The 22,505-nt window shown below is 40.3% G+C and overlaps 1 protein-coding gene across 3 annotated transcripts in view, besides 1 other annotated feature; it reads right to left on the bottom strand.

The window, feature by feature from the left end:
• PLEKHG7 (pleckstrin homology and RhoGEF domain containing G7) overlaps positions 1 to 22,505 on the bottom strand; it is a 69,467-nt gene that overhangs the window by 3,007 nt on the left and 43,955 nt on the right. For all 3 annotated transcript variants that reach the window (NM_001377329.1, XM_047428867.1, XM_047428868.1), the window contains 6 exons: positions 15,185 to 15,359; positions 13,509 to 13,624; positions 13,058 to 13,151; positions 7,618 to 7,697; positions 5,255 to 5,408; positions 369 to 466 (listed from right to left, as the gene is read on the bottom strand). In NM_001377329.1, coding sequence (NP_001364258.1) covers positions 369 to 466; positions 5,255 to 5,408; positions 7,618 to 7,697; positions 13,058 to 13,151; positions 13,509 to 13,624; positions 15,185 to 15,359 — 717 coding nt within the window. The remainder of the gene's footprint in view (positions 1 to 368; positions 467 to 5,254; positions 5,409 to 7,617; positions 7,698 to 13,057; positions 13,152 to 13,508; positions 13,625 to 15,184; positions 15,360 to 22,505) is intronic.
• Positions 10 to 210: a silencer, noted in NCBI's record as "peak1888 fragment used in MPRA reporter construct". NCBI's record gives its function as "represses an SCP1 promoter by STARR-seq MPRAs in K562 erythroleukemia cells {active_cell/tissue: K562}" and the evidence as "EXISTENCE:reporter gene assay evidence [ECO:0000049][PMID:32103011]".

Raw genomic sequence — 22,505 nt, 5'->3', positions numbered from 1 at the left:
GATTGGAGCATCTTAAAGGTTCATCATGCAATCCAAATCAATTCTTCCCCCATTTCCTACAGAAACTGTAGAACGCAGGCAGTTCTTGAGCTTCTGCAGGAGAACTCTGCAAGCGTGAGGAAATTGTTCCTCAACCCCGCAAGTGTGAGGAAATTGTTCCTCAACCCCACAAGTGTGAGGAAATTGTCAATACTGAGGCTTTTGAGCATTATATGGACTAGATGTACCCCTCCCCTCCTCCCAAATCTGCCCTTCCCAAGTGGGTGAGAGAAAAACACAAAACTTTCCATTCACTGTTACTTAAGACACTTGGGGGGAGCTTATGTAAACTCTGAAGAATCAAAGACCTACAAAATTAAAATACATACTTTGATGTTTTCCGTTTGGGCTTGTAATAAGAATGCTGCTATACACTGTCGATATCTGTTTTCGTGTTGTATAAGAAAAGCATTTCTCAGCCCAAAGACTAGAAAAAGATATTACAAAGACAAAAAGCCAAATCATTTCATATGAAATCCAAACAATTTCTTAGTACAAGAATCTGGGGTTTGTTTTCTATTTGGCTTGTTTCTGTTTTAACGAGGGTGGGAGGTTTATCTAGCTTATAATTTTTTTTTAAATTTTATTTCAATGCCAAGACCCCACCACTATGTCCAAATAAAGCCTACTCTACTATAAAAACCCTTTCTTCCTTAGCTAATGACTTCTGATACTTGATGAAATGCAACTAAGGCTTAGGTAATGGGGCCCCTGCTCGTAGAACAAGCTAAACATATGCGGTAGATTTTTTTGTGTATGAAAATATAGATAATAAAAATATACAAAACAATATAATATTTTCTTCTTTGTTCTTCACCACTCCTTTAAAAAATTTTATTTTTGTGTTTAAAGGGAAGTCACATCCAACCAAGGTTTATAAACAAATTAAGATGTGGCAAAAATACAAAACCACCTGAATACTTCAGGCCAAGAAAAGCCAAAAACCACTCAAAATCCAGCATCCACCAAACTGGGTGAAATGTAAAACAAAACAAAAAGAGACATTGGCATGGTTTCTGTGTTTGCAAAAGAAAGCCTGTTCTGTCATTTCCTAGCTGGCCTCAAAGAAAAGATAGTGGGAGAGCAGACTTCTTTTTCTAATATAGCAGGAGCGCTTAAAATGAAAGTCTCTTCTTTGAATTATTAATACAACACAGTCCTGAAGCTTACACATTCTTTTTTCTCTCTTTTTTTTTTTTTCTTGAGACGAAGTCTCTCACTGTCGCCCGGGCTGGAGTGCAGTGGCGGGATCTCGGCTCACTGTACCTCTGCCTCCCAGGTTCACATGGTTCTCCTGCTTCAGCCTCCTGAGTAGCTGGGATTACAGGCGCCCGCCACCACGCCTGGCTAATTTTTTTGTGTTTTTAGTCGAGACGGGGGTTTCACTTTGTTGGCCAGGCTGGTCTCGAACTCCTAACCTCATGATCCACCCAACCTCGGCGTCCCAAAGTGCTAGGATTATAGGCATGAGCCACCGCGCCCGCCCTATACATTCTTTCTATAGTCAGTGTTTAGAAACAAACAAACAAAAACAGGCCAGGGCTGTCTCCTGCCCACATCAAGTACTTCAGGAAAGAGAAAAAGTGAGCAAGTGACATATTCTTGCTGATCATTAAGCTGATGCTTGTCTGCTGTCACTATTTGTATTTGTTGAAGTTAGTTTAACTCAGGCTTATCTGAGGGGCTGTTGGGCTTCTTTCAGAATCCAGGTGAATACAATACTTATTTTCTTAACTGCAAGAACTACCCCAGTATCACAGATTATACTCATAACAATCTAAACATCATAATTCCCAAATTCTACTACAAAAAATAAAGTCTGTTAATGAGAGGCCATAAAATTCTGTCCAGCTTCTCTGCAGCGAGAGGACTTAAACCTATTAAAATGACTTTCTGGGGAAAAAAAAAAAAAGCTGGCTGTGTTTTACTCTCTAATTCTTTGCCTTATAAATTCCCTGTAGCAAGTGAGGCTTTAAAGATCAGGTCATTGTTCTTGGCTGGTTTTTGGAATTCATTTTCCTCAAAAACTATAATTGTACTTCCAGGTTATTCCAGGCATCCTTGCTTCATTTGGTTTGTAGTATGGGTACAAGGGACTTTATAAATAAAAGGACCTGCTAAGCTAGGCCTGTAAAATACAATTTGGAGAGAGTATAATATACAGGCAAGAATAGCTCTTTTTTTACTGACATTCTAATACAATAACTGACACAATTTTAAAAGCATTTTCTATGTATTGGGCACCATACTATGTTTTTTCTCTATATAGCAACCCTGTGAGATAGGTCAGCTAATTCCTACTTGTAAATGAGGAAACATATTAATTTTTCCAAGGTCACAGAGCTTATAAATGATATAGCCAGGATTTGGAATTAGGTCTGTCACTCCAGAGCTCAATCTCTCTCTTGTCCTCATTTACTCTTTCCTGTTCTATAGCTGCTCTGCCCATGTACTGTATCTAATTAGTCAAGTTAATAGGCCCGAGGAATGAGAAAAATATTTTTAAAAGGAACAAGAGATGGTAGTTACAAATCAGAAAATAAAAAAGGTGGAAGCATAGTTGTTTTGTTTTTGCTTTTTGAGACAGAGTCTCACTCCATCACCCAGGCTGGAGTGCAGTCGTGCGACCTTGGCTCACTGCAACCTCTGCCTTCTGGGTTTAAGTGATTCTCGTGCCTTTGTCTCCCCAGTAGCTGGAATTACAGGTGTGTGCCACCACGCCTGGCTATTTTTTTTGTATTTTTTCACCACGTTGACCAGGCTGGTCTTGAACTCCTGACCTCAAGTGATTTGCCCGCCTCAGCCTACCAAAGTACTGGGATTACAGGCGTAAGCCACTGTGCATGTTCCCAGAAGCATGTTTTTAAAAAGATCTTTTAATTAAAAAAAAAAAGAAATAGAGGAGAAAAAACATGCATCTTTCAAGGTAATCCGGTGACATTAGATTTCCCATAAAGTTCAAGTCTTAAAGCTGGCAGGGTTGTGACTACACTGAACCCTCAGCCAAGCTGCATCCTCTTCCTCATGGGTGTTCTGGCACCTTCCTTTACTCAAGTCTATGTGTCAGGCCACAATCTATAACTATATAGCGTATAACTGTATCATAATCTATAACTATAGCCACTGTAGTAGGAGAATAAATTCCTAGCACAGGATGCCCTCTACTATGATATTTTTCCCCATGAAAAAGTAAACTAAACAAATGACAGAAAAGAAGTGATTTCCAGCCGCCACATACTGAGGCTTTGTTTTATCTACATTCCTCTGCCATCCCTTGGGCAGGTAAGAAGCTCACACTGAAAGTGAGAGCACTCACCAAGCAAAGGTTTTGCAACTTTGACATACCCTTTTTGTGGCTTGCTCCTGAACTGCTGTCTGGCTTGGCAGATTTTGCCCTACATAGACTTTGGTCCCAGTCAAGTTAAATACAAGAGGCTTTAAGGTCTGCCCTGTTACCTTTCAGCAAATCTTACTGAAAATAGAAAGAATGGACACAGGAGGCAGAGGCTATCTTTCTGGATACAGGCTTCCCTTCTGCTCTTGGAGAGAGAGGTTATATTAATTCATGGGTTAATATATGTAAGGCATTAAAATTTTTACAATTTATTTTTATTTTTAGAGACAGGGTCTCACTCTGTCACCCAGGCTGGAGTGCAGTGGCAATCATAGCTCACTGCAGCCTCGAACTCCTGAGCTCAAGCCATCCTCCAGCTTTAGCCTCCTGAGTAGCTGGGAGTACAAGTGTGTGCTGCTGTACCTCACTATTTTTTTTTTTTTTTTGAGATGGAGTTTCACTCTTGTTGCCCAGGCTGAAGTGCAATGGCTCAGTCTCGGCTCACCACAACCTCCGCCTCCCGGGTTCAAGCGATTCTCTTGCCTAAGCCTCCAGAGTAGCTGGGGTCACAGGTGTGCGCCACCATGCCTGGCTAATTTTGTATTTTTAGTAGACACAGGATTTCTCCATGTTGGTCAGGCTGGTCTCGAGCTCCCGACCTCAGGTGATCTGCCCAACTCGGGCTCCCAAGGTGCTGGGATTACAGGCGTGAGCCACCACGCCCAGCCTATTTTTTTTTTTTTTTTTTTTAATAAGAGACTGGGTCTCACTATGTTGCCCAGGCTGGTCTCAAACTCCTGGCCTCAAGCAATCCTACCATGTTGGCCTCCCAAAGTACTGGGATTATAGTATGAGCCACTGCACCCGGCCAGCATTTAAATATATAACTTAGTTATGTAGCATAACTATGTAAGTATTTGGTACTGTTGTTTGTATATTCATTCATTCACTCTTTAAGGTTTCTCTATTATGTATGAGTCAGTCCTATGCTCTTCACTGAAGCTCTGGGCTTGGCTGCTGGGATGGGAATTGAGGGGGATGGTGAGCGCTTTCTCTTTTCCGGCCCCTCCAATGGGGACAGGAAGTCAGTCCCCACCTGCCTGGCCTCAGCTGGTCTAGGAGCCTCTAGCCAAGGCAGAGTGGTGTCTGCGTCCTCCTGAACACTGCCGCCCACTCAAGCCTTGAGTAACTCAGAGTCCCAGGGCTTTTCTGACAGAGGATTTACTGATCTTTCATTATTCTAAGAGCTCCCCAAGGTCAACGGCTGTTTCTTATTCATCTTTGTATCTGTAGGGCCTGCTGAGTTCCTGGGTCTCAGGAGATAACTCAAGAAATACTTGAATAAAAGATTAAAAATGATATATATTTCTGATGCATGTGTCATGTAGATACATGCATATATATGTGTGTATATATATGAATATATATATATTGCTGGCATAATTATTTTAATAGAGGGTAATAAAATATCTTACTCTTGCACGTCTGGTTATGGTTTCTCAGTGTTTTAATAACAGCAATAGTATTAATGATACTATAATAACAATACCAGTAGCAACTATCATTTATTGAATGCATCACATTTGTTATTTAATTTTCACAGACTCTCACTGAAATAGATATTATTATCCCTATTTCTCAAAGGCTTAGAAAACTGAAGAGTCTCTTGTCTAAGGTCATACGGCTAGCAAGTAACAGAGCTATCACTCAAGCACCGGACACCATAACTAATTCATAGAGTGAAAGATATGTAGACACATAGGAACACAGTCTTGTTTTTATGAAGACTTGAATTGGATTTATGACCTGCTACCAAGAAAGGCCAATATAAAACTCTGTGATGGCAAACAGATGAGCTGAATAATGAAAATAGACACATACCTGACACATGGAGTGGTTCAATACTTTTGACTACCAATCTATCTAGTGGAATAGGCTGATCGAGTACTGTACACGAACCACCCTCTTTTATTACTGCTTGCAACTCAGGAGTAAGAGAAGGACACATTAAACCAGGGTCTGAGCCTCCAAGTTTCTGAAATTAACAAGAAAAATAATGCAATAAACAAGAAATAAATATTGGCACACTTATCTAAAGTGCATCTGTAAGCAAATAGATTCTGAGAAACAATTGCCTAAAAACTATTATTGCCTAAAATCTTACTACTCTTTCTGGATCTTGAAAAGCATTTCCCCAAAGCATAGTGATTTATAGCAAAGTGTTTATTTTATTATTATTAATAAAATTTTTTTTCTTGAGACAGGGTCTCACTCTGTCACCCAGGCTGGAGTACAGTGGTGCGATCTCAGCTCACTGCAGTGTCAACCTCCTACACTCAAGTGATCCTCCCATCATCTCAGCCTCTCAAGTAGCTGGGACTACAGGCATACACCACCATGCCCTGCTAATTTTTTAATTTTTTTGTAGAGATGGGATCTCACTATGTTGTCCAGGCTGGTATTGAACCCCTGGGCTCAAGTGATCCTCCCACCTCAGCCTCCTAAAGTGCTGGGATTACAGGAGTGAGCTACCATGTCCAGCAGCAAAGTGTTTCTGATCTCCAAGTTTCATTACCTGAATAAATAATGGTTGATGTCCATAACTGGGAAACATTTAAATCACCCTCACGTCAATGGGAAGTTCTTCATTCCTAGTATCTTAATCTCTCTATAGTATTGAGTTCGATGAATGAGAAAGGGGGCCTCACTTTGGCCAACTGTATGCCTGGGATCTAATACTGAATTCTTAATAGATTCCATGCTCTAGAATTTATGAATAATTGAAATTGTTTTGAACACATAAGATGGTGATTTTTTTAAAAGGGGGTAAAAATTAAAAATTGTGACCTGCATGGTATAAATTGTACATAAAATAGCAAAGAGGCATGTAAACTGATACCATTCCTTACTTTAGGAATCAACTTGTGATGCATAAAACCGGAATATCAGCTTATTATATTATCAACATGGGCTGCCATTAATTCATATACTCTGATTTGTACCACTATTTGACGTGAAGGTCAACTATGCAAGCATCAAGGTTTTTTTTGAAGGGGGTAGAGATTTTTCAGAATTTGGCTTGTTCAGACATGCTAGTCTGAGTAACTTATAATGGGAGGTCATACAAATTCCGAAACTATGACTCTTAATATTCTCGTACACCCATTCCCTCCCCAACCACCGATTAGCTATTCATAGATTGATTAATGGGTATCTATTTTATTGCTTAAAGATTTAGCTCAACTAACCAACATGCCATGTAGAAGCTTAGTTTATTAAAAGATATGACATAGCTAGTCTCATGATCTTATCTATGTAAGGCTAGTCATTTGGTAAAGAAATGAATGGAATAAAGCAACATTAGGTATCTCTGACTGTTGAAGACATTGCGTTCCTCTTCCCACCTCTTAGAGCAGGTGTCTGGGAGCCTTAGATAAACTTCTCTACTTGATACCACTCAAACACACCATTCAGGAAACAGATTGTGAAATAGTAAATTAGACAGAAAGCCTTTTGGGGACCAGCAGCAGACCAGTGGCTTAATGGGTAGTAAAAATAACAACAACAATAACAGTAACAAATAATACTTAAGTAACGTGAAAAAAATCCCTATTCCCTATAGAGATTTTGTAGCTCTAGCTCCCAGTTGACTAATTTAGTCTGTGATGCTACATACATGTTTGGCTTCTACACTTTTTATATAGGTAGACACTGAGAGATCAGGGCTCCCTCTCTCCTCCACCTCCAAATCATTATTTCTCAGAAATAATGTGAGCTTTCAAATCAGAATGAGTGTTGAAACCACCTCGACATAAGACAGTAGACAGTTCAGAGGGGCCCTACTCTGGCTGTTTTTGTTGTGGTGGCCAATTCAGAAAAGGAACAGGCCAAAATGGACAAAGATGTTTTGGGTTCCTTTGCTTAGGCAGGTCAGGCAAAGTCCTGTGGCTTCTGGGACTTAGCTTGCAAGTATATAGATTAAGTTGTTCTAAAAATGTATTCCTCTTTTGACATCCTTGAGAAATGCAACTTGCATTTTTTTGGTTTCATTTATTTATTTATTTATTTATTTACTTCAGAGCTTTATGACTAAAAAAGCCAATAGTTTATAATGCCTTCATTTTTTAGAGGAAAAGATTCAGCTTAAGAATATTTTATATTTTTACCACAGTTTATTTAGAAATATTTCTAAACTCATTTAGCAAACTTGTTTAGAAACGTACTTTGAAATAGCAGCATTTTACCTTTTTGTTGCACTTAGTTTTCGTAACTAAGAGGAAATCATTGAAGAGAAACAGATAAACATCTAGGAATCTCGTGCTTTCTGAGGAAAAAAAGAGAAGCTGAAATGGGGACCTGAAACTGTTAAGTAGAAGAGTTTTTCTTTCCCTTTCTTTCTTTCTTTCTTTCTTTCTTTCTTTCTTTCTTTCTTTCTTTCTTTCTTTCTTTCTTCTTTCTTTCTTTCTTTTTCTTTCTTTCTTTTCATTCTCTCTTTCCTTCCTTCCTTCCTTCCTTCTTTCTTTCTTTCTCTCTTTTTTTTAATCAATGAATTCCTTAGAAAACAAAACTGGGTGAGTATTACGGCACCCCAGGGGCTCCAATCATGTAGGTCAGAAAGCTGCCTGCCTCAATGTTGAATTGATTTCTTCCTAAAGCAGAGACTTGATGAGAGGCCAAGCTTCCAACATTAAAGACATTGAATTTATGATGCGTCTCATTTGAATCTAAGATAACTCAGATGTTATTTGTAGTGGCTTCAACTCAGCCGAGGGTAAATCTATCAACTGATTGAACTTGCAGCATTTTTGCCTCTAGATTCCTCTGGGTGGTTATTGGCAAAGGCACACATAACCAGAGAAAAGGCATTTTCTCACTGCTATGAATTATGCTATTGTGTCACTCAAATTTCATATGTTGAAGCCCTAAACCACTAGGGTGGCTGCATTTGGAGTAAGAAAGTAATTAGGGTAAAATGAAGTGATAAGGCTGGTGCACTGATCCAGTAGCATTAGTGTTCTTTGAGACACCGGATACCTCCACCCTATCCCCCACTCCTTGTCTTGAAGAGAGCGCTCATCAGGAACTGAATTTGCCATCACCTTGGCCTGGGACTTTTCAGCCTCCAGATTGTAAGACATAAATTTCTGCTGTTTAAGTCAGCCTGTCTGTGATATTTTGTTATGGCGGCCTAGGTTGACAGTCATTAAAACTACTTATTTCTCAAGTTTTAGAAAGTGTCTATAAATGTTTAGATATTCTCCATCTGTTTCATATTTACAAACTTTTCTGATATTAGTTTTAATAGTTACTTAAGGCAAATAGCTTTTCTTTAGTTTTCCCTAAGAAGGGAATAGTAGTAGAAGAGAAACCAAGTATCAGAATAAGGCATCTCCTTCCTTATTTTACTCTATCCCTTAGAAATTAGAAAAAAGGGTTAAATTTAAGTGATTTCAGAGGAAAAGGTTTTTAGAGGGAGATGTGACAAGTGCTTAGAGTAATCATAGGAAAACCCAGTAAATTTTTTTCAGCTTGTTCTATTTAGATTATATATATATATTGTTCTAGAAGTTCTTTCTTATATGTTTTTACCCCTAGAAGATTTAAAGTAGTAGCTAAAACATTTAGGATTCATTTCTATCTCCTCTCATTCTTTAAGTTTAGAGAAAAGATTTTTTCTATATTTGCATAGGGGAGAAATCTGGTATTTTATTCAAATTAAATAGTCCTTGAATAGTTTTTTTAAAAATCATATTAAAAACTTAACTTTTCATAAATCAAGTTGTGGCAAAGACTTCTGGTTGTCCCTTGAAAACCATTCTCCCCTTCTCTTGTAGCAGTAGAATCCCCAAGTTTTAGTGAGTACCCATCCTCAGAGAACAGAGACTACATTTCCTTGCTGCTGAATATGACCAAGGAGCTAAATTCTGACCAATGGAATGTGAGCCAAAGCATGCAACTTCTGAGTCATATTCGTGAAGGGCAGGGCTAAGCTCTCTTGTCTCTGTCTCTCCTTCTCACTGGGTAGAATACAGACATATTGGTGAGTCATCTTGGGCCACACAGAAGAAGGCAGTTCCCTAGATTTGGGAATAAGACAGCAGGAATCTGGATTCCTAATGACTTCATGGAGTGGAGTTGTCATATAGGTTGAGACTTAACAAGAGAGAAATAAACTATCTTTTTTAACCTGTCCGTCTCCAGTGGCTGAATCTATATGCCAACTGATATACAGGGCTAGGAATGGTACAGCACTAGACCTGTGAACAGCCAGCTGAGCCTGCCATAGCAAAATACCACAGACAGGGTGGCTTAAGCAATAGGAATTTATTTCTCACAGTTCTGGAGCCTGGGAAGTAGATCAAGGTGCTGGTCGATTCAGTTCCTGATAAGGGCTTTCTTTTTGGGTTTCTGCATGTGTTCTTACATGGCAAACAGAGAGAGTGAGCTCTCTGATGTCTGCTCTGATTAGGATACTAATCCTATCAGATCAAGGCTCCAGCCTGAGTCCCTCATTTTACCTGCATTTCTTCCTTATTCCAAGTATAGTCATACTGGACATTAAGGCTTCAACATGTGATTTGTGGAAGAACACAATTCAGTCCACAGCAATGGAAGAACACAATTCAGTCCACAGCAACCTTCAAACCTGTAAAATTTGCTATTCCCATCTTCTGCTACTCATGTATGCGTCAGCTCAATGATCATTGTCAAAATGAAATAGTTTTGTTTTCTCCTTCTAATTTCAACTATTTTATTTTGACAAACAGGCAGGGAGCACACCTTCTACGTATTCCAGATGTTATTCTAGATAATGTTACAGACATTATTCTAGAAAGTGGTAATTATTTTATCTACCATTTATTGAGGCCCTAGTTTTCCACCAAGTAAGTTATGAAACAAATTATGAAAATGTGTACCTTCTGGGAATGAGAACATATACTTATTTGATTATAAGAGTACAGTTTTTAAGGCTGGGAGAAATTTGGAAACACAGTATGTGTTAGGTTTCATCACATCATTTTCATCCTCATTGTCATCATCATTATCAGCAGCAGCAATAACATTTATAAAAGAGAATAAGAGAATTTAAATTTTCCCAAAGCCTACAATTGGTGCTAGATCCCCTGACTGTTGGTTCAATGCTTTTTTCATTTAAAATGATGTCCTGTTTCCTCACTTGATCTTAGCCAAAAGACCAAGAAGTGAAATGTCCTGTTTCTTCTAACACTATCACCCTGCCCCATCAAATCTCGATGCTCAACTCTGAGTCCAGTCTCAGGACTTTGCACTTGGCTTGATGCCATGTAGACTACATCATATGGAGTCTCCATCTCTGATGGAATTTGACTAATACAGCATATGCCATTAAACAAGTGCCTGGTGTTAGTGACATTATGTAGTTCATGTCCATACTACCACATTTGACTGTACAAGAAGCATTTTCTGGAAAAGTTGAGTCTGTTTGTAAAGAGTCTTTCTTAGGTGAGCTTCCAACCCATACATCTATGACAGTCACTTTGAACCCATGCGATGCATGAATTCACATCTGACTTAGACTTTCACCCACCAGGAGCTGCTCCTCCAGCTTCCATGTGGGTTCTCATTATGCCCAAACCTGAACCCTAAAATTGACTCCTTGACCCACTCCCTCTACCACTCATGGCATTATCAACAAAACTTTCAGATACATAGATTAGAACAGTTTTTGATACTCATTTCCTCTTCATCCACTTTGTCGATCATAAAATCCTCCTGGTTTTGCCTTTGCAATGTCTCCCATATCCTTTTCTATCATGCCCATTTCTAATGTGTTAGGAGAAGCTGGTGCATCTTGCAGTATTGGGAGGTAGGTAGGAAGAGGGAAGGAGTGAACCAAAGCCTCACATAATTTCAGGTGGGGCTAATTTTGGAGGTAAAGATACATGCTGGAACACAGATAATGTTTTGCTTTATTACTTTGATTTGTTCTTGTCATAAAATATAATTACTTTGAAGTTGTAAATAACATTAAAGAAAAGTTAAAATTGTTATGTTTTCAAATGAAAGTGGGGGGTGGGTTGACCACATGTTAAAAATGGTAGAGCAACAGACAGGCCCCGAGTCTTCTCACCTCACCGTGTTCACCACTGAACTTCCGGTTTCACCACTCTGCTTTGGTCTCCTCTATGCCATTTTGAACACTGCTTATTAACAACGCTTTCTTCAACACCCTTTTAACCTATCACTTCCCTGTCTGAGAGCTCAATGACTTCTGGTTGCCTGCAGTTTCCTGGCTGGGTCCTTCTGTTTGGTTTCCAAGGCAGTTGCTCTGATTCTGGAAGCCAGCTGGACCAAGGCAGCCAGGCTCCAGCTGGTACTCGGTCATTTACCCACCAGGTGAACTTGGGCATGATACAGAACCTCCCTGAGCCCCAAATCTCTCACCTATAACAAGGGATTAAAAGCAACTTCTCTATTTAACTTACTGGAAAGAGACAATGTATGAAAAAGCCCTTGGATATAAAACGCTGGATATGTCTATCTTCCTTATTTAACAGCTGCCAGGTGGGGATTATGTCCTAACCTGACATCCAGACTACCTCTAAAATAGAGCAGAGTTTCAATATACATGTATTAAGGGATTATTTCCCAGCCCCTCCCCACCAGATATCACATCACCACTGTTAGGCAACATCCCATCCCACAGGACTTCACACTCAGTAAGTGCCTGGTCAAGATTTTGTGCAGAAATGAATAAATAAATGATTTAAAACCTTATTTCAGCCAGGCAGCCTTTCTGATCATCATGATATTTATTGGGCATGAAATTTGTGTCAATCATTCTTTTGAGTGCTTACACATCCGTTGGTTCATTTAATCCTCACAATAAAGTAAGGTAAACTGAAGCACAGGAGATCACTGTAAATGGCCCAAGGTTGTACAGGCAGAAAAGGCTGAGCAGGGAGTGAGCCAGGCAGTCAGCCCCAGGGGCTTGGCTTCCTATGTACTCTGCTAGAAACTAAGTTTCTCCAGGGGCTTCTGCCTCCAAGACTTCTCCAGCTGTGCTATTTATCTGAATGACCTCCCTCCTGTCCTTCCACTGACCTCATCCTTCCTGCCCCTCCAAGCCCACCTCCAGTCCCATGGACTGCACGAAGCCTCTCCAGGGCACTGCAGCCTCAAGGACTCTCTTCTTTTCTGAACTTATCCTGAAGGTCTGGTAATAAGGCAGAGCTTCCCAACTAGAGGGAAAGAATTATACAGAATGAGTTTTTATATCTTCCAATAGTACCTACCTAGCACAACTTGTCCTATATAATATAATAGAGTCTCCATAAACATTTGAGAGCTTGATTGTCTGGCTCATTGGGGGAGTACAACGATTATGATGATAACAGCTGCCATTGACTATTTACTAGATTCCAGACCGTGAGCGAAGTTGTTCTTGTATGTTGTTTTAACAATCCTATGGAATAGTTAGAGTTATCCCATTACAGAGAGAAAACAGAGAGCACCTAGCTAGTTATGTTGCGAAGTCTTCATTCAAGCCTGAGTCTGTGTGACTCCATAGGGACTCTCTCATTCACACCCTCCATCACCTGGAACATAGGCAAACACAAGTCCTCCTGCTCTTCAATTACTGGCAGTCAAACAAGTTACAAGGCGGCACAGATGTTGGGTTTTTTAAAGGAAGCAGTTATTTACCTGCAAGAGTTAATTTTCCTTCATAGAGAAGGTGTCTGCTGGTTGGTGACAAGATGTTTTCTGCCATGTGTTCTTTAAAAATGTGTTTCAAACACTTGTAAAACAAGCGAGAAAATAAAAGAGATGTTGTTAGTGATTGGAAGAGAACATGTTTAAAAAGCTGGGGCAATTAACTCCATCTAGAAAGTTCATGACATTTGGAAATGCCAGCAGATGGACATGGGAATGGGAAACAATGAAAAACCCTCTCAGAAGGACCATCATAAGAATGGCACAGCGACCTCAGCCTCCCCGCATACAATGCCCTACAGATGAAGACTTTACTTCTTGTTCATGAAACTAGATTTATTCTTCAAGTGGACAGATGGGGACATCTAAGATGATTGTATTTCTATCTGAATGCCCAAATTCCAGAAATGGACATAAGTCCTAATTGATTTTTTTTTTGTACCTCTGGAATGAAAAACCTTTTATCTCTATCCCAAAGCGGTGGCCACACTATAATCTCCTGTAGATATCTAAATTTTTGGAAATTGTCCAGCCACTTCACTTTTCCTTCAAGGTCCCCTGAAAGACATGACATAGTCAGTATATTTTTAGGTGCATATGACATTGCAGTATAAATTTTAACCAAGGTCCACAGGAATCATTTAGAAACACTGGCTGCCCCTGGAGCCAGACAATATATAAAGTTCATTTCACATATTGCTTGCTGTTCATGCGTCTTAGAAAACTCACTAATTTGGAATCAGTCTCTTGCAGAGAAAAATCAAGCTTAGCTAATTTAATTCAGTAGTTTGAAAGTATATTGTGTATTCTTATTTCAATAATACCAATAAAATCCTTGGTAGTTTTCTCTTATTCCCTAGACCACACAGCCTATAATTAGAGGAGGAAAAAAAAAATCAGACTAACAAGGACAAACATATGTTTTTGTCCCAATCATAAAAGTATATATTCACTTCATGATCATGGTGATTATTTCTTTTTTGGTAGGAACTCAATTTCTCTTTGGAAGGTTTATATTCATTTTCCAATGTTTTCTAATAACATGTTGCTATTGAGGGTTTGAAATGTTTTTTGAAAACATGGAGGGCAAGTAAGAGACCTGAAGAATCACATTGTTAGTGGAACCTTCAGAATTCACCATCTTTAAGGTAATAGACATAAAGGGAGGCCACACAAATCTCTTCCCTCAACAATGAGAATCCATCTTTCACTGAGAAATCTCCAGAGGTGCTGCTTTATCTTTCCTCACAAACCCATCCAAATGAGTAATAATCCTTAAGATTACTTCTAAAGCTAAAGAAGTCATCTTTAAGAGATTCTTTGTCTTACTTGCTTGATAAACTTAATTCCAGCTCTTCAGATAATTTTAGAATTTGAATAAAAAATTTAAAAACAGAAGAAAAACCCAATTAAACAGTCTTACTTTTTTTTTTAAAGCATCTGTTTCAGGCAGTATCATTTTACTTTTAAACTTGTAAAAGAAAAAAATTATGTATAGCTGAATATCACCAATTTGAATTGTTCCCTTCTGATGCCCACGAGGAAAATCTTGGTTTTTGGGCATAAATCATGAACTTCTTTATGGGAATTTCAGTTATACAGAGTTACACAAATAAACTTAAGTCATCATAGGGCCTGCTCAGTTCCCATCCTCAAATTTCAGTTTAAAGATTGCAGTTGGCAGTAGTTCCATATTGACCCTGGCTTTCGGTGATTTAAGAAATGATGAATGGTAATTTATCCTCTGGACACACTTTCCATGGTGTTTACTCCCATTTGCTTTGTGTGTGGGGTCAGTACGGCTGTTAAAAACAAAGTGCCTTCAGTTATCTGGGAAGTAGAACTTTTCCTGCCTGAACTCACTTCTGAAACACTTGGAGACAGAGCCACATCCTGTGTAAACTTGGTGCTAGAGTTCTCATAGGGTTCGCCAGGATGTGACTGGAGCCCATTGTTCTGTGCGCATTTGATTTACAATGCACTCACACTTGAACCCACATTTCCAAGAGCCATGACCTCAAATCAGTGGAATTACCTCCTAGGATGGAAGCCCAGAAGGTTTCCAGGAGTCACAAGGCCACAATTCTGTAATTAAGCTCACTTATCTCAGGGACTTACGGATGGACTTTTCCACCTTTTCCTTGATGGAGTAGATCATGATTTTCTCAGCAGAGTCCATGCTCCTTTTCCAGATATTCTTCAGCAACAACGGATATCGAGTGAGCCTCTGTAGTGGGGCCACTAGCAGCTCTGGCACGTGGAGCCGTCTGCATTGTTCATTCTGCTCACACCACTGGGGAAGGCAAAAGCAGCCATATCAGAATGATCACCTCTCCCACTGAGCCACTAAGAAGCCTGGATATGAGAGGTTCTTGGAGATTTTACTCAGTAACTGCAGGACCTACTTGTGAGTTTGCTGGGACAATTTATAAGCCACAAATTAAATCCCCTGAAAAGTGCATGTTCCATTAGCAGTAGTGATAAGATGTAGTAATAGGTGGGTTCCAGCCTTGTTTACCCTTCTCATTGGAGAGTGAATTTAGTTTTGCCCATTGGCTTTTCTTCCCTGGCCTTCAGGGGAGAGTTCTGGTTTCATCAGCTTTGGTCCCATCCTTGTTGTGATGCAGTTAGGACAATTGAGAATTGAGACTGGAGAGGCAGAAGGGAAAAGGAAGGATTCTTGCTTGTTGGGTCAGTTCCTTGACTCCTCTTAGTTGGGGAGGATCAGGGTAATGATCGAAAATGAAGAGAAATGAAAATAGAAGATAGAAGTTGAAGAGGCTCAGTTGATCTAGAACAAAGAGAGGAGAGGAGAGAGGTAGAGATGCGGACAATTTTCAATAGGGAGAGTTTGGAGTTGGGGTTTGGAAGAAGAGGCAGTTCTAGGGTATGCCAGCACCGGGGAAGACAAGAAATTTTAGTAATTTAGTAATTGTAGTAAGTATTGCCATGGGTTATCCATTGGGGTTCCATAAATGATGTTTGAGAAACCTGAGTAAACATGAGAATAGCTTTTACGCTTGTTTTATCTGCTGTGCTGTTTCTTTGAATGTGAGCTTCCTTGAACGTAAGGGGCTCTGGCTTTAATGAAGGTGGCAAATGAGGCATGGACGTGGTTGCTGGCCAGCATGCAGATGGGTACATCAGGAAGGAGTATAGGGGTGTGTGTGTTCTCTTCCTCTTCTCTTACCCTGAACACTCACACCAAATTGACCCTGAGTTCAGCGATAAAGGGATTAATATCAACTGAATGTTTGCTTTCCTTCAAATCCACCTAATATTACTTTTAACGCCAAAAACTGCAATTACTTTTGCACCAACCTAATAAAATCCTAACCTTCAGTGGAGCGGCATTAGGAAGTGGGGCTGTTGGGAGGTGATTAGGCCATGAGCATGGAGCCCTCTTGAATGGGATTAGTGTCCCTATAAAAGGGGTCCCGGAGAGCTCTCTAGCTCTCTTTTCACCATGTGAGGCTACAGCGAGAAGACAGCTGTCTGCAACCCACAAAAGGGCCATCACCGGCCCCTAACCATGCTGGCACCAGGAGACTTTCAGCCTCCAGAACTGTGAGCAACAAACTCCTGTTGATTATAAGCCACCCAGTCTATGGTGTGTTGTTCTAGCAGCCTGAATTGACTACAACAGGGATCCTGCCTTTACACTAAATATTTCTCCTGCTGCAGGCTGTTGCCTCATTTCCACCTTCCATTCTCCTTTCATTCTCCAGGTTAAATCCTTTGCCTTGTGACCCAGACCCTTCAGGGCCATCCTCAGGTGGGCCAGGCACACTGCAGGAGACTCCTGCTGCATCCCCAGAGATGTCTTCAAGCCCACGTGTCAGTCCTTGCATTTTGAAGATCTAGGTACAATTAGCTCAACCCCCCACCAATCCAATGGCCTGTGGAGGTCTAAACTCCTCCCCTAGATATTTACCAACTCATGGGACTGAGATTCTAACATCTTCCTCTGGCTCCTGGACTCTTGTTTCCATGTATACTGTTTCTTCCCTGAACAACATGGAACAAACATATCCCCTTGGTTTCCTATGTTAGTTTCTGCTGTAAACCCCCTCATGACATGTTTTGTGAGTATACGTATTTATTTTACTGAAGATTTTGGGTTGTGAAGAGGGGTCAAATACACAGCCCATGAGACCCTACTATTTTGCTGGCTCTATTCTCTTCTTTGGAAAGAGAGAGTTCTTTCTCTCTTCCCCCTTAAACAAACCCTCCCCTTTTATCTCCTAGCCTCTTGCCTAGCAATTTGCATTTGTCTTTCATAGCTTGACCATGTCCTTGGTGGGGTGAGGTGGGGTCTCACTCTCCTCCCACACTATCAGCTGTTTTTTTTTTTTAAGGGGGATGGGGAACAGGATCTTGCCCTGTCACCCAGGCTGAAGTGCAGTGGTATGATCATGGCTCACTGCAGCCTTGACCTCCTGGTCTCAAGCAGTCCTCCCACCTCAGCCTTTCACATAGCTGACACCACAGGTGCAGGCCACCACACCTGGCTAATTTTTAAATTTTTTGTAGAGACTGGATATCACTATGTTGCCCAGGCTAGCCTCAAACGCCTGGGTTCCAGCAATCTGCACACCTCCCAAAGTGCTGGGATTACAGGTGTGAGCCATAGTACCTGGCTCAGCTGGATGTTTTGGAAAACATCCTGGGCTCTTCATCATGGGGATTCTGCCAAATTCAATCTTCTTGGCCGGGCGTGGTGGCTCATGCCTGTAATCCCAGCACTTTGGGAGGCCGAGGTGGGAGGATCACTGGAGGTCAGGAGTTCGAGACCAGCCTGGCCAACATGGTGAAACTCCGTTTCTACCAAAAATACAAAAAAAAAAAAATTAGCCAGGCATGGTGGCGCACGCCTGTAATCCCAGCTACGCAGGAAGCTGAGGTGGGAGAATTGCCTGAACCCGGTAGGCAGAGGTTGCAGTGAGCCAAGATAGCACCACTGCATTACAGGCTGGGCAACAGAGCAAGACTCTGTCTACAATTCAATCTTCTCCTCTCCCCTGTGTACAGGTGGCTGGCCATGAGAGTGAGCTCACAGTGCATGGTGAATGGAGCTCCAGAAGCCAGGCTCCAAGGACCACCTTCTCTCTCTGGACCTCCGATTTCTCTTCTTAGACAAATTAGGCAACGTGCTGAAAGATATGGTTGTTCTAGGGCAGAGGTAGGATTTGAATTCAGACCTGTCTGAACCCGATGTTCAATCTTCTACAATGCTCTGTTGTAAACAACATTCTTGTAGAACTTAAGCCTATGTTGTGTTATGGGCTGCCTGAAATCGACCTATAAATGCAGTGGGATAAATTTACCCTTCATACCACATGAGGCTAAGCTTTATGAATGTATGTACTTTATCTTGATGTATATTAATGGGATTAGAATTTTTCCAACTGTTTTATTTTTATTTATTTATTTATTTATTGAGACAGGGTAGGTCTGACTTTGTCACCCAGGCTAAGTGCAGTGGTCCAATCATGGCTGACTGCAACCTCAGACTCCAGTGTGGCTAGATGGCTCTTGGCTAGATGATCTCCAAGGTCTCCTCCAAATGACTGTGGTTCTCATTGAGGTTGGCAGGGATGGAGACAGAAGTGAGCACGACAGATGAAGATAAGGCTGGGAGTGGAGGGGAGCAGGGCTATGCTTTAGCGGCTGATTTCCATGTTGACTCACGGGCAGCAGCGTTCCAGTGCTACCTTCAGGTCCTGGACCTCTTGGGTGGCTGGGAGTTCTTGTAACTGATTTCTCAGCAGCAGTTAGGCCCCTGTCCTCCCAAAAAACTCACTGCCCCAGGCCACTGCCCCAAATTGCCCTGCTGTGGGGAACAGCTGTGGCTGCCAGCGTGCACTGGTATTCAGGGTCAAAGTGAAAACACCAAACTCCTCCAGGTAACAATTGGCAAGAAGCATCCGTGGTAAATAATTTAGAGAAGGATCCAGGCAGGGATGTTGGAAGCATTTGTATTTCAGAAAACTTCAGAAGAGACAAAAAGAATGGCTTGACATTATAAAAGTAAAGCTGTAAGTTTTCCTTTCATCTCTCTATTGACTTCATTTTTCAGGTCCGTTAGGGAAGGCAAATAACACTTCCATTGAGAGAGATTGGACATAAAAGGCCTTTTTATTGATAAGTCTAGATCAATAGAGGCTACTTTTGCTTTATAATAAGTATCCAATATGCTTAGGGGAACTGTGAAAGGATTCAAGGGCCCCAGATGAAAATATGTCCTGTCGCTTGAGCAAGGGAGGTTGAGGCTGCAGTGAGCCATGATGGTGCCACTGCATTCCAGCCTGGGTGACAGAGTGAGACCCTGTTCCAAAATAATAAAATAAAATAATAAAATAAAATAAAATAAAATAAAATAATAAAATAAAATAATAAAATAAAATAAAATATAAAATAAAATATAAAATAAAATAAAATATAAAATAAAATAAATAAAATAAAATAAAATAAATGAAATAAAATAAAATAAAATAAAAAATAAAATAAAATAAAATAAAATAAAATATCCTAATAAATTTGTCTTAGTGGGATGCAGCATTAGGATGGGGCAACCAGAATTCTTGGAACCTCAGGAAATTTACTTACCCTTTCTAAAAATTATCAGTAAAATGTTGATAACAAGAGTAACTACCTCATTAGGTTGGTGAGAGGTTTTAATGAGATAATTCTCACAAAGTGCTTAGAACAGAGCCTGGCACATCTCAAACACTCAGTCCATGGCAGCTAGAGTTCTTAGCCATTGTTAGTTGTGCCACACGAAGAGACTTGGTACGAAGTTCCCAGTTTCTTCCTCTGCATCGTTTTGTTTCTAAAATAGTAAGCAGGAGGATTGCTTGAACTTAGGAGTTTGAGACAAGCTGGGCAACCTAGCGAGACCCCATCTCCATAAAAATTAGAAAATTAGTCAGGTGTGGTGGCACATGTTTGTAGTCCCAGCTATGTGGGAGGCTGAGGTGTGAGGGTCACCTGAGCCCAGGAGTCTGAGGTTGCAGTGAGCTGTGATTGTACCACTGCACTCTAGCCTGGGTGACAGAGTCAGACTCTGTCTCAATAAATAAATAAATACATAAATAAATTAATTAATTAAAAAACAAACAGTAGGAAGAATTCTAATCCCATTAATGTACACCAGGATAAAGTACATACATTCATAAAGCTTAGCCTCATGTGGTGTGGAGGGTAAATTTATCCCACTGCATTTATAGGTCGATTTCAGGCAGCCCATAACATGGCATAGGTTTACGTTCTCCAAGAACGTTGTTTACAACAGAACATTGTAGGAGATTCAACATTGGGTTCAGACAGGTCTGAATTCAATCCTACCTCTGCCCTAGAACAACCATATCTTTCAGCATGTTGCCTAATTTGTCTAAACTCCTGAAAAACGGGAACAATATCAAATTCTGCAGAGTTAGTGTGTAGACAAGAAGAGGATGGATGACCAGCATGTAGCACAGTGTCTAGGCCATAGCAAGGGCTCAAACACTAGTCACCTTGGGTATCTGCGAGTCTCTCCCTGACCTCTCACCTTTGTTTCATGAGGCTAATAGTTCCATGGTGATGGGTCATAGCCCCAAGGAATTGGAAATAGTTCTGATATGAAGAGCACTGGATTTTTTTGCCTGAAAATCTTGCTATGGTTCTTTCTTTGCCACCTATTGGCTATGTGGCCTTGCAAATGTCATCTAACCTCTCTGAGCCTCAGGGACACAAAGGAACAATGTAATCAACTTTACAGGTTTGTGTTCCGAATTAAGAGATGTTTGAGAAAGTGTCTGGTGAAGTATTATGCGTTATAAAAGCATCATGTGAGCTGGGTGCGGTGGCTCACGTCTGTAATCCCAGCACTGTGGGAGGCTGAGGCAGGTGGATCACTTGAGGTTAGGAGTTCAAGACCAGCCTGGCCAACATAGTGAAGCCCCGTCTCTACCGAAAATATAAAAAATTTGCCAGGCACGGTGGCAGGCACCTGTAGTTCCAGCTACTCTGGAGACTGAGGCAGAAGAATCGCTTGAACCTGGGAGACGGAGGTTGCAGCGAGCTGAGATTGTGCCACCGCACTCCAGCCTGGGTGAGAAAACAAAACTCTGTCTCAAAAAAAAAAAAAAGCATCATGTGTTATAACAGCACTTATCCTCTACTACCTTTCCCAAAATATCCCTGGATGTCACACACATTTTTATTCATATACAATTGTACATATTTATGGGGCACACATGATATTTTGATACATGTGTACAATGTGTAATGATGAAATCAGGGTATTTAGGATAGCCATAACCATAATTATTAACATCATTTCTTTATGTTGAGAACATTTCAAATCTTCTAGTTATTTTGAAACACACAATAAATTATTGTTAACTATAGTCACCCTAGTGGGTTATCATGCACTAGAACTTACTCCTTCTATAACTGTATGTTTGCACCCATCAACCGACCTCTCTTCATCCCCTTCTCCCCTCTTCCCAGCCTCTGGTAACCATCATCCTACTCTCTATCTCCATGAGACTAACTTTTTTAGCTCCCACATACAAGTGAGAACATGCAATATCTGTCTTTCTGTGCTTGGCTTATTTCACTTAATGACCTCTAGTTTTATCTGTAAGTGACAAGATTTCATTCTTTTTTCTGGCTGAATAATAGTCTACTGCACAGATATGTTACATTTTCTTTACCTAATCATCTGTTGATGAACACTAGATTGATTCTATATTTTGGCTACTGTAAATAGTGCTGCAATAAGCATGGGAGGAGCAGGTATTCCTTTGATACACTGATTTATTTCTTTTGGCTAAACACCTAGTGGTGGGATTGCTGGATAATGGTAGTTTTATTTTTAGTTTTCTGAGAAACCTCCATTTTGTTTACTATAACAACTGCACTAATTTACATACCTGCCAACAGTGTACAAAAGTTCCCTTTTCTCTATATCCTTGCCAGCATCTCTTATTTTATTTTATCTTTTTAAATAGCAGCCATTTTAACTGGGGTAAGATGATATCTTAGTAGTCATTTTAACTGGGGTAAGATGATATCTCATTGTGGTTTTGATTTGCATTTCCTTGACGATTAGTGATGTTGAGATTTTTTTTTTTTCATATACCTGTTGGCCATTTGTATGTTTCATTTTGGGAAATGTCAACTCAGATTCTTTTCTCACTTTGTAATGGGATTTATTTTTTTGATCTTCAAGTTCCTTGTATATTCTAGGTATTAGTCCCCTGTCAAATGAATAGTTTGCAAATATTTTCTCCCATTCTGCAGATTGCCTCTTTACTCTGTTGTTTCTTCTGCTGTGCAGGAGCCGTTTAGTTTAATATAGTACTATTTGTCTATTTTTGTTTTTGTTGCCTATGCTTTTGAAGTCTTAGCCCTAAAATATTTGTGTAGACCAATGTCCTCAAGTGCTTCT

The sequence above is a fragment of the Homo sapiens genome, chromosome 12 (genome assembly GCF_000001405.40).
Source record: "Homo sapiens chromosome 12, GRCh38.p14 Primary Assembly".
Lineage (NCBI taxonomy): Eukaryota > Metazoa > Chordata > Mammalia > Primates > Hominidae > Homo > Homo sapiens.
The sequence above is the reverse complement of the archived record's forward strand: the minus strand, read 5'-3'. Positions and strand labels throughout refer to the sequence as shown.